This window comes from Homo sapiens, chromosome 7, assembly GCF_000001405.40.
Source record: "Homo sapiens chromosome 7, GRCh38.p14 Primary Assembly".
Lineage (NCBI taxonomy): Eukaryota > Metazoa > Chordata > Mammalia > Primates > Hominidae > Homo > Homo sapiens.
The window spans coordinates 20,042,101-20,055,099 of record NC_000007.14 but is presented as its reverse complement, the minus strand read 5'-3'; the positions used below and the strand labels follow the sequence as shown (position 1 = coordinate 20,055,099).

The window sequence follows — 12,999 nt, the reverse complement described above, 5'->3', positions numbered from 1 at the left end:
AGAAGAATGTATATTCTGCAGTGGTTGAGAAGAATGTTCTGTAGATATCTTTTTTTTTTGTTTTTTTTTTTGTTTTTGTTTTTTTTTTGCGACGGAGTCTCGCTCTGTCGCCCAGGCCGGACTGCGGACTGCAGTGGCGCAATCTCGGCTCACTGCAAGCTCCGCTTCCCGGGTTCACGCCATTCTCCTGCCTCAGCCTCCCGAGTAGCTGGGACTACAGGCGCCCGCCACCGCTCCCGGCTAACTTTTTTGTATTTTTAGTAGAGACGGGGTTTCACCTTGTTAGCCAGGATGGTCTCGATCTCCTGACCTCATGATCCACCCGCCTCGGCCTTCCAAAGTGGTGGGATTACAGGCGTGAGCCACCGCGCCCGGCCTGTTCTGTAGATATCTACACAGTCCATTTATTCTAGGGTATAGTTTAAGTTCATTGTTTCTTTGTTGATTTTCTGTCTTGAAGATCTGTCTAGTGCTGTCATTGGAGTATTGAAGTCCCCCACATTATTGTGTAGCTGTCTGTCTCTTTTCTTAGGTCTAGTAGTAATTGTTTTTTAAATTTGGGAACTTAAGTGTTAGGTGCATATAAATTTAGGATTGTGATATCTTCCTGTCGGATTAATCCTTTTATCATTATATAATGTCCTTTCAGATGTTTGACATTTTGTAAAGAAAATATCACATGACTGGATTTTCCACTTTACATGAGGATTTTTGCTACTATAGACATTCTCTTGGCTGTTAATATGAAACACTCATTTCTTGTCCAAATTCCTTAGAATGCAAAAGATTTCAAAATGACAGCAATGAAACAAATTATATATCTTCACATATCAGTCAAGTCAAAACTAAAGTGATGTGTGACAATCATATTTAAATAAATTGTAAGTGTATAGTTAGTGTACTTGTGTTCTTTTACAGCTGTGCAGGATATGGATAAATGTTATCCATATGTTATCTAATAAACATATCTAATGAGATATGCTTCAATTGACAATTAAAAATGATGATTCTACTATTAAAGTTGCTTTTAAAATTTTGTTTAGAAATTGGTAGCTCCTCATTGAATTTTCCGTTAACAGTACGTATGCTTTGACTTCAAAAGGGATGGAACACCGTGAAATTTACCTCAGATATCACAAAAGCAAATGCCCTGAGAGACCAAGGTTTTAAATGTTGTTGACTTAAATGGAATGGATGAAAGACAATAGGAACTCCTTGGGACAGGATGTGAGTGGACTAAATTCCCTACCAAAAGGGATGCAGACATTCTTTTCAAAGTTGATGTGGGGAGGTTGGGGAGATATTTGTCAAGGATACAAAATTTCAGTTAGATAGGAGGAATAAGTTCTAAAGATCTATTGTACAACATGGTGACTATAGTTAATAAATATATTGTATTCTTGAAAAATGCTAAGATAGTGGATGTAAAGTGTTCTTGTAACCACCCAATGGGTTCACCTTGCCTGCTGCCTAGACAGAACTGATTTATCAAGACAAGGGAATTGCAATGGAGAAAGAGTAATTCACGCAGAGACAGCTGTGTAGGAGACCAGGAGTTTTATTATTACTCAAATCAGTCTCCCCTGGGAATTCGGGGATCAGAGTTTTTAAAGATAATCTGGCAGGTAGGGGCTTGGCAAGTGGGGAGTGCTGATTGGTCAGGTTGGAGATGGAATCACAGGGAGTCGAAGTGAGTTTTTCTTGCTGTCTTCTGTTCCTGGGTGGGATGGCAGAACTGATTGAGCCACGTTACTAGTCTGGGTGGTGTCAGTTGATCCACTGAGTGCAGGGCCTGCAAAATATCTTAAGCACTGATCTTAGGTTTTACCATAGTTATGTTATCCCCAGGAGCAAATTGGGGAAGTTCAGACTCTTGGAGCCGGAGGCTGCAGACCCCTAAACTGTAATTTCTAATCTGGTAGGTAATTTGTTAGTCCTGCAAAGGCAGATTGGTTCCCAGGCAAGAAGGGGGTCTTTTTGGGAAAGGGATGTTATCAATTTTTTTTCAGAGTCAAACTATGAACTGAATTCCTTCCCAGTGTTAGTTCGGCCTATGCCCAGGAATGAACAAGGGCAGCTTAATGGTTAGAAGCAAGATGGAGTCAGTTAGGTCTGATTTCTTTCACTGTCATAATTTCCACAGTTATAATTTTGCAAAGGCGGTTTCATTCTCACCCCAAAAATAACTATGTGAAGTAATATATATGTTAATTAGCTAGATTTAGTCATTCCACAGTGCATATATATGTCAAAACATCATGTTGTATATCGTAAATACATACAATTTTATCTGTCAATTTTAAACAATAAAAATAATAATAATTTAAAATTATAAAAAGGACAGCAAGAGCCTAAGAAAACATGTCTGTGAACTGATTTTCGCTCAAGAACAATCTAGTTTCAAGCCTTTGATTTTAGTTGAATTTCTGTCTTTTATGGAAAAGGAGACTGAAGTCCAGTTTCTTAAACTAGAGAGCAGCCAACAAAGCACTAGAACCCAGTTATTCTGAACCTTCATCTAGTACCATGTGCACTCTCATTACTCTTCTTCATGCTGCTTTTGGTATATTCATACATTTATCAGCAGCAGATTCTTTTACAGAATTATTAGATTGTCAGTGCCTTTAAGTAATAGAGACATCAGTTCAGATAGTCTAGCTTTAAAAATAATTACCATGTTACCTTTGTGTGATATAGTTAGTGCAAGCATAAGCTTTGGAATTTGACTAAGTTCCAGTACCAACTTCATTGTTTAAAATTTGTGTGACAATGGGAATTGAGTCACTTAACCTCTATGAACCTCACGGTATTCATTTGAAATATAGGAGAACTAAGAGTACTACTTCACGTTGTTATTGTTATATATAAATGAGATGATGACCAAAGGTATTTAGCTCAATGTGGGAGGAACATTAAATGCTCAGTAAATATTGCTTATTATGATTATATTATAGAAACTGTCAACCTAGAATTGTTGTTTTAAGAATTAGTTATTATCTGCACATTTATCGCTTAATGTATATAATCTTCTCTACTTACTTCAGATTTTAGAAATAGATTCATTTGCCCATGCAGTCATTTTACAAATGTTTATTCAGCATCTCATGTGTACCAGGCATTTTTTCAAGCACTGAACTTATCATGTAAAAAGATACACAAAGTCCATGCCATCATGACGTATAGGCAATTTAGTGGAAGAAATAGAAAAGGTATGGGAAGTTCATTGCAAGTCACGGGTGTAAGAATTATACAGCCTCTTAGGGAGGAACAACTTGGAATATTCAAGGATTTAAAAGAATCCCAGGGATTCTGTAGCTGAGGATGAGAGGGATGAAACCATCAAAGATGTAGTCAAAGAGGGAATCAAGGGGCTAGATTATGTAGTGGTAGAAGCCAAAACAACGTATTTCTACTGTCAACAAAACAAGTCAAACTCTATAAAATATTTTAAGAGAGATTTATTCTGAGTCAAATATGAGTGACCATGGACCATGACACAGCCCTCAGGAGGTCCTGAGAACATGTGCCCAAGGTGGTCGGGGTACAGCTTGGTTTTGTATATTTTTAGGGAGTCATAAGACGTCAATCAAATACAATTAAGAAATACATTCGTTTGGTTCAGAAAGGAGGGACAACTCAACGTGGGTGGGGGTGGGGGGCTTCCAGGCTATAGGTAAATTTAAACATTTTCTGGTTGACAATTGGTTGAGTATTATCTGAAGAACTGTGATCAATAGAAAGGAATGTTCAGGTTAAGATACAGGATTGTGCCGACCAAGTTTTATTGTGCAGAGGAATCTCTCAGCAGACATCAGAGAAAGAGTAGGTTGTAAAATGTTTCTTTATCAGACCTAAAAGTGCACCTGGCTCTCAGTTGATTATCTCCTGGATCTGGAAAGAAAGGAAGGAAAACAAAGGGGGAAGGGGATTCCCTATAGGGTGTGTATTTTTCCCACAAGAGACTTTGCAAGGCAATTTCAAGGTATGGTAAGGAAATATAATTTGGGGTTAAATATTCTTTTTCTTGTCTCATAATGTTATGCCAGAGTCAGATTGAAAAGTAAGTCATGCTATATAGGGTCAAATGAAACCCATATGATGAGAATTTATGGTTTGTAGGGCATGACTCCCTAGATCACATAGATAGGAATCTGGGCAAGATAAATATCAGAGCTTAGTCCTCACTACATTTTTCAAAATGTGATAAGGAGCTATTAGAGGATTTTGAATAGAAAATGCCTTGATCTGACTTACACTTTAAAAGACTTTCTCTCTGACAGCTGAGAGGCAGACTGTAGAAGGCATGATGAAAAAGGCAAGCAGAAGCATTAGCTACTTTTAGCAGTAGTTGATACAAGAGATGACAGAAGCCTGTAATATTGGCAGAAACAATGAGACATGGTAAAATTCACTGTGTATTTTGAAGGCAAAGCCATTAGGATTTGCTAATGGATTGGAAGAATGCAAGTGAAAGCAATAAATCAAATATTTATCTGGTAAATGGTAGGGACACTGATTAATTTGAAAAAAATTTGGGGAGCTAGAAGAAAAAATCAAGAATCCTGCCTTGACCATGGTAGCTTGAAGTGCTTATGTGGCATCTAAGGGAAACACAAGGGAAATTGGGCAGGCTTCACTGGGGGAATGAGGCTGGACAGCATATGGGACTGGATGGAATCACCTAAGGAGTGAAGACAGAGGGAGTAGACTAAATATGCTAACTGAGCCCTGGCACAGTCAAAATTGTGAAGTTGAGAACAGAAGAAGGTTAAGAAACATTCTATTTTTTTTTCACTTGAGCAAAATGAAACATTGTATGTTCCTTAATTTTTTGCCCCTCCTTACTTTAGCAATTTTTTATTTTATTTTATTTTATTTATTTATTTATTTATTTTTGAGACAGAGTTTCACTCTTGTTACCCAGGCTGTAGTGCAGTGGTGTGATCTCGGCTCACCGCAACCTCCACCTCCCGGGTTCAAGTGATTCTCCTGCCTCAGCCTCCCGAGTAGCTGGGATTACAGGCACCCACCACCACGCTCAGCTAATTTTTTGTATTTTTAGTAGAGACGGGGTTTCTCCATGTTGGTCAGGCTGGTCTTGAACTCCTGACCTCAGGTGATCCACCTGCCTCCGCCTCCCAGAGTGCTGGGATTACAGGCGTGAGCCACTGCGCCCGGCCCTTACTTTAGCAATTATTTCATACTAATTTTCTAATTGCGTAGTTTTATTTTTTGGTCACTATTTACCTCTGGACCTGTAAATTGTGGAACAGAAATTCAGTGAAATCTGTTTTTAGCTAAATGTCCTCCAGTGTACATGGAATTTAGTGGTGAAAGCAGAAAGAGCAGTCATCATCCTCTGGTTGCCCTATTTTATTCCCAGAAGCTACTGAGTAGAAATCAAGGTAATTACTTTACAGTTATTATGGAAATAATACAAAATGAAGCTACTTAGGAGGATAATTTGAATTATAGACCTTATATGACATCTTTCAGTGAAATGAAGATTTCCCATGAGAAGGCAAATGTATTCAGTAACAGTGAAAATAAATATTAATATTAATAGCTGGCTCCAGTGGAAACATTCTCTCTTTAGGAAAATACGCAGATAAATTACGTGGAGTGGAATATGAGACCATGAGAAGAGGGTTTAAAGGAAGTCCAGGAAACAGAAGAAATACCAAAGCTCTTTCATATTAGAAATTCACAGACACAGAGAGCAGAAAGTTAAAAGAAAAAGTGAGTTACTGGGCAACGTTGTGAAATTGTCCAAGAAGTTTAGAAACAGCTATGTGTAATGATTATACTAAGTTGTTATTACTGCAACAATTTAAACTTTTAAATTTAAACTCCAAATTTTTATCAAAGTATGCTCCACACACAATGCATACTATAAGTGCTATTGTATGTTTACACCAGTGTGTCTGAGTGTGTTCAGGATTTTTTTTTAATGTGCAAAACAAGGTAAAGTGCTGAAGTTAACTCCAGGACAGACAGTAGCAAATTCAAAATGTAGCATGGAGAAAGAAGACATCCTTTCGTAATAAAAACTCACAACATATTAGGTTGAGGTAATAAACATACCTCAACGTAACAAAGGTTTATATGACAAACCCACAGCTAACATACTGAATGGGGAAGACCTGAAGCTTCTTCTCTAACATCTAGAACAAGACAAGGATGCCAACTTTCCTTGCTTTTATTCACATAGTTCTGGAAGATCCAGCCAGAGCAATTAGATAGAAATAAAGAAAGGACTTCCAAATTGAAAAAGAGGAAGTTAAACTGTCTCCATGTAGACATTATCTTATATACTGAAAACTCTAAGAGCTCCACCCAAAAAAACCTTTTTGAACCTATAAACAAGTTCAGTAAAGTTGTGGAATACAAAATCAACATGCAAAAATCAGTCGTGTTTCTATACACCAACAATAAACTAGTAGAAAAAGAAATCAAGACAGCAATTCAATTTATGATAGCTACAAATAAATAAAACATGTTGGGATAAATTTAACCAAGGAAGTGAAAGATCTCTAAGGAAAACTATAAAATACTGATCAAAGAAATTGAAGAGAATGGAAACAATGAAAAGGCATCCCATATTTATGGACTGAAATAATTAATACTGTGAAAATGACCATATAACAGCTATCTATAGATTTAATATAATCTCTCTTAAAATAACAATTACGTTCTCCATATAAATAGAAAAAAATACTAAAAATGTTATGGAAACAAAGACCTCAAATAGACAAAGCATTCCTGAGCTTTAAATAATGAAGTGTTCTGCCTTTCATCTATTTGAGTGTCACTGTGTTGTGTTCCACCATCAAAAATATCTTCAAATCTTACAAAACACACAAAAAACACCAGCTCGATATCTGAAATTCATTCATTTATGTGAATATATCTTACTATATGGAAGGCATTGATATAGTGATATACAGCACTACTTTTAACTGGTTGCATAAGAATCACGCCAAGGGAATTGTTAGAAATGCAGATTTGTATGGTCCTTCCTAGACCAACTGAATCAGAATCTCTAGAGGTTATGAAGTGGGAAAGTTTGTTAAGTTTTTCAGGTGATTCTAATGCACACACTGATATGGAAGATATACAAAACATACTGTTTCACCCTCAAAACTTTAATTCTATATTGAAATGCTAGGTCTGTTGCTTACTACTCCATTTCATGGAGTAAGTTACTTAATTTCTTTGAGATTCAATGTCCTTGTTTGTAAAATGAGAATAATAACTTGCTGGATTAGTAGGATAATTAAATAAGAAATTGTCTAAAATTACTCAGCATAATATCCAGTGCTTGGAAAACAGTATCTATTATAATTTTTTAGAGAAAAAAAAAGCTATCTACTAGAAAAATAAATATGCAACAAAGATCGGGATGAGCAGAAATTTACAAAGTTTGAAAATAGGAGACAGAAATGGTTCAATAATTAAAGGTATGTATGGCACAGATATATCCAAGCAATTTTGCCCTACAAAAACAACAGATATTATTAGAGTATTTAATCCTAAAATCTTAGTTTAGGATAAGATGCCTCTGTGATGTAAATATTCATTCATTTCATAAGTAAGTGTTTATTGAAGATTGACCTATATGTATTGTTTTGGTTGCTTTGCTGGCAGTTTGGATCGTCTCCTGCTTGGTGGCATACTTTCAGTGCCTGTGTAGGAATTATTGGGTTCGATACCTCTGCAACAAATCTTTGCTTTCACACAGTGTCACATGCTTTCACAATTTTTCTCTTTTTTGAAGTATTTTCATTATTAACAAAGCATATCAGACAATCAAGGAATGCCAATTCTCAAAGATAAAGTAATTACTAAGCAACTTTTGGATAAAATTTCTCCACTTGGAAGCCAGTAGAGCAATGAGTAATGTAGATGTTCCCAAATATGTACATATTGGAATAATTTAGTGTCTGGGCTCACATGCAAGACTCTAAATTTTCTATACTCTTTCATTTAAGTATAAATGGCCCAAAGGAATGATTATATTTTCTACTGTATTTATTTTTAATGGTGATGTCCATCTTGTCTTGTGCACGAAGTCACCCACATTGTTCTAAAACCACAATTACTGCCAGTACTCCCCTGTTTACGTTTACCCATTGCCAGAAGAAAAGGAAAGAAAAGATGTAAATTTAAGATCTTGATGGAAACTACTATTCTTGCTTTCTTCACTACTCAATTGCTGGATGATATTGAGAAAGTTATTAGCTCCTCTGAGTCCACTTATAGAATTAGAAATGGCAATACTTGCCACACAGAAATGTCTTGAAGGTTATATCAAATAAATTGATATGTTCGAAACTACTCTAAACTTTCAAACAATACATGTTCATTACTATTTTATTTTAAATGCATGCTGTGGTATAAGATTCAGAATGTTTGACTTTCTTACATTTTTCATCCCTTCCATATAGAATCAAACTAACTCAGTGTTCTTTTTCTCACTGACTTTCTGGCCCTAGTCTCACACCACCAGGGACCTTATAGGTCACTGTCATTCCTTTGCTCCATAGGAATAGAAATTACCAACAGGAAAGTGGAGACTATGCTCTCCAACTCCAGCTCCCTCTCTGGAAAGCATAATGACGAGCTGGGTTCTTTGCACCCAGCAGTCAAAGGTACTGAGAAGCTGTCAAGAGCTATTTTCTGTTACTGCACTTGGATTTCTCCAAAGCCCAGTGGGGGTAGTCTAGCATCCAACCTTGAATCAGAGGATCTACATTCTAAGTTCAGTCCCTCATGGATAGAGCATTTTATTTATGTTTCATTTTTATGCTTTTTTTTGGGGGGAGGGGGGATAAGAAAAATTCTATATTGAAAGTCTCTTCTTCTAAAGAGGTTTATAGTTCACAAAAACTCTTAGGACAGACATACTCACTCAAACCTAAGTGAAATGCTATTACAACTACATTTGTCTTCAGGCAAGTCATCTTATGCCTTTGCCTTTATTACCAAGATTATAAAAACTTGGAGGTAGGAAGTAAGAAGACATCATTACATTACTCTCTGTTAAAATGGCAAATATATTTCTATTCAATGAGATAATCATAAATAGGCACTCTATTCAAATACAGACATTTGTGGAGTCCTTCTTTGGTGGTAGGGATGTGGAAATGATTAAAATGTGGCTCCTGTCCTCTGTCAGATAAAAATCAAAATAATTTCAGCTCACCTCAGATCATTTTTCCTTCTACACAAAGTACCTGACCAGATGTACCATTTGTTGAAGTCTTGCAAGTTCACCCTGGAGTGTGGCTGCAAGGTAGCTGCTGCCCATTTTTGGCTGGCGCCTAAACACTGAGCAGGCCCATTATAAGCCATGCTTCGGTTTTTTGCTTCTCCTTCAGTTGGTCATTTAGGACTCCTCCATGTGGCCACAGGTGTAACCTGAGAGAGAGGAGGGCAGTAATGAAATGTAGGGGGTAACACTGAGGTTTGGGCTACCAATTTATGCAGCTTTCGTGCTTAGGCTTTATCTCATATGTACCATTTGCATTTTATATAGATCGCTTCTTGACCTGCACAACTTTCTGATTTGATGAGTTCAACAGAAACCAACTCAAGGTAAGCAATTCAGAGAATGCATAGCTACTTGCTGTTTTGTATGTTGAGTGCTAAATTTAATAGAGAGGGGCCTACTACTGAATGGGCATCACATGTTCAGATACATTCATCAGATGTTTCAGGGTTCAGGTTTTCCCAGTGAGAGCCCTGACTTGCCCTTTGGTTTTTTTTTTGTTTGTTTGGTTTTTGTTTTTTTGAGACGGAGTCTCGCTCTGTCGCCCGGGCTGGGGTGCAGTGGCGCCATCTCGGCTCACTGCAAGCTCCTCCTCCCGGGTTCACGCCATTCTCCTGCCTCAGCCTCCCGAGTAGCTGGGACTACAGGCACGTGCCACCACGCCAGGCTAATTTTTTGCATTTTTAGTAGAGACGGTTTCACCGTGTTATCCAGGTTGGTCTCGATTTCCTGACCTCGTGATCCGCCCGCCTCGGCCTTCCAAAGTGCTGGGATTACAGGCGTGAAGCACTGTGCCCAGCCTGACTTGCCTTTTTGTAACTTGATAATTCTATTAAAAGCTGGGTTTGGTTTTCACATTTTTATTTCTCTGAATATAAAAGATAAAGCCTTTTATATGCTACCAAAATGGCCCTCTGCTCATCAAACTTTACTTTTAATGTTTTAGTAACTTCACTCTGCTTTTCATTATCCCTACGTAGGACATCAATGTCATTTAATAATAATCAACACTATTATCTTATATACATTGCCCCCCCATACCCTTACTTCTATTTTATTTTATATTATTACTAATTTTTTTTGAGACAGGGTCTCACTCTGTCACCCAGGCTGGAGTGCAGTGGTGAGATCACTACTCACTGCAGCCTCAACCACCTAGGTTCAGGTGATCCTCACACCTCAACCTCCCAAGTAACTGTGATCACAGGCATGCATGGCCATATCCGGCTAATTTTTGTATTTTTTGTAGAGACAGGGTTTTGCCATGTTGCCCAGTCTGGTCTCGAATTCCTGGGCTCAAGTGATCCACCTGCCTTGGCCTCCCAAAGTGCTGGGATTACAAGGCATGTGCCATTGTGCTCAGCCTCCCCTTACTTTTAAAATCCTGATTTATTTGAATCATTACATAGTTCAGGGTAATTCCTTCCACCAGAACATTCTTTCAAATTAGCATCAGTTTTAGCATCAGGCTATCACACTGTACCAGAGACTGTGCTGTGCTCCATATACCACATAGGATGGATTGCTTATTACCAGGTAGGCAGTGAGCAATCCAATGCCAAAACAGTTTTTTTTTTTTTCATCTGTTTTCTTACACCACGTCTGATACCAGAGCATGTGGCCTGTGTAGGTCACATCAGGCCCTATGCTTAGAAGGGCCCTATGCTTACTTTAATGCTCTGATTTTCTTGCTTTATTAAAATGCTTAATACTTTTGAACAGGGAGACATGCATTCTTATTTTGCGCTGGGATTTACAAATTATGTAGTTGCTTGTTACTAGTATGAGACGCATAATTGAATTCTCCATAAAGCATATGCTGAGATAGTTTGAAGTATAAGAAAAATAGAACAGACTGGTAATGTCCATGAATAATAAAAGGAAGAAAACGTACAATTGGGTGGATGTCTTCATTTAAAACACAGATCTGATCCAACCTCTGTAATAGGAAAGGAGGAAGAAAGCAGGATTGTGGAGAAAGAGCTTCAGATTACAATGAAGATCTGGTGAATCTCCAACACACCCAAGTAGAGTTTCAGAACAAAGATTGGCTATTAGAGAAGTTTCATGGGCACACACAGCCAGGTCCTATGCCCATCTATGATCAGTCATTAACTGGGGGCTGCCTGGGAATAGCCTGGCTTCAGCTAGAAAGCTGAGACTGATCCTGAAGGGGTTGGTAGCTGGAGACTAGTAGTTAACTGCTCTTGTTGCAGCAAAATGGCAAATTCTTCCTTGAAAAGAGATCTGAGTGGTATCCCTCCATGGCTGCCACAATATATTTAAGATTGTTTCATGTACTGTGGGATGGATCTTGCAATCTGTAGTTGTTTATGTAGTGTCAATACACGAAAATTGGGTCAGATAAATTCGTCCCATTGTTTAAATCTTCTATAAACTTACCGATTATTTGGTCTGCTTATGAAATTGCTGAGTTACAGTTTTCAACTATAATTACGGATTTATGTATTTCTATACCAAATTTATTCTGCTTTTTGCTTTACATTTTTTAATACAACTCTTTTGTGCATGTATGTAATGATTTTTAAAGCTTCCAGCTTCTCTTTCATAATAGCTCTTGCCTTTAAATCATTCTAATATTTATAAAGCCCAATTTATTTTTTAAGTTTATATATATATAGTATATATACCATAGTATAAAATATACCATATATAATTATTATTTACTGATACTGTTGAGTTTAAATAAACCACTAAGCTATTTGCTTTCTAATAATCTCATATATTCTTTTCCTTTTATTTTTCATTGCTTGGATTCTTTTAATAAATCAAGTTATTGGTTTTATTAATCTTTTAATTAATGATTTATTATTTTATTGCTTCTATTAGCTTTTTATATCATATATCATATACATTGTATTATTCATTCCGTGGTAACCCTAGGTATACACCTGTGACTTACTACATTCAACCTTAAACTAGTGCTTTTACCACTTCTTAAACATTTAAGGACCCTAACAAGTTCAACTCCATGTGCTTACTCCTCACTCCTCACTTAACCCTTTGTATAATTCTTGTTTACATATTTTCTTTCTGCATATCCTATACACTCCGTGGGGTACTATTATTATTATTGGCATTTGAAACAGCCAACATTTGTTTAAATCTGCCTATATTTACCCTTTTTGGCACTCTTCATTCTTTTCTACAGTTCTCTACTTCTATGTGGAATCATTTCTCTTACAGTTGAAGACTTTAGTGTTTCTCATCATGCACATGCATATGCAAAGAATTCTGTAGCCTTTTTTAATCTGAAAATATATTTAATATTTAAATTAAATATTTAATCTGAAAATAATCTGAAATATCTTTTTTAATCTGAAAAAAATAGATACTTTTTCCCTCTAAAAGACAAAACAAAAGCAGTTATTTCTTAACCTCACCAAAAAAGCTTTTAAAGAATTAAATTGAATCATTGTCTAGCACATGGTTCACCCATGAACATTGCAGAGTTACAATAATAAAAGTAAACTTGAATGTTGAGATTTACAAATGTGTGTATTTGGCGGATGCTGCCAGGGAAAGTGTATCAGAGCTAAATATTTTCTAAAGGGGATGATAATATAGAAAAATCCATATATTCCATCCTAGACAAAAAAAAAATTTAAAAATAGAAAATTAAAACACAATATATAGGTATGAATTTGAAAATAATAAGGTAGTACAAAAAATAGCTAAGATTGTTACATATTTGCTGCCTCTGCAAA

General features: G+C 36.6%; 1 long non-coding RNA gene across 1 annotated transcript in view; it reads left to right on the top strand.

The window, feature by feature from the left end:
• The window catches only part of MACC1-OT1 (MACC1 3' UTR overlapping transcript 1), a 221,446-nt gene that overhangs the window by 85,327 nt on the left and 123,120 nt on the right, over positions 1-12,999 (top strand). Inside the window, exon 2 of the long non-coding RNA NR_110114.1 lies at positions 9,539-9,597. This is a non-coding gene — a long non-coding RNA (MACC1 3' UTR overlapping transcript 1). The remainder of the gene's footprint in view (positions 1-9,538; positions 9,598-12,999) is intronic.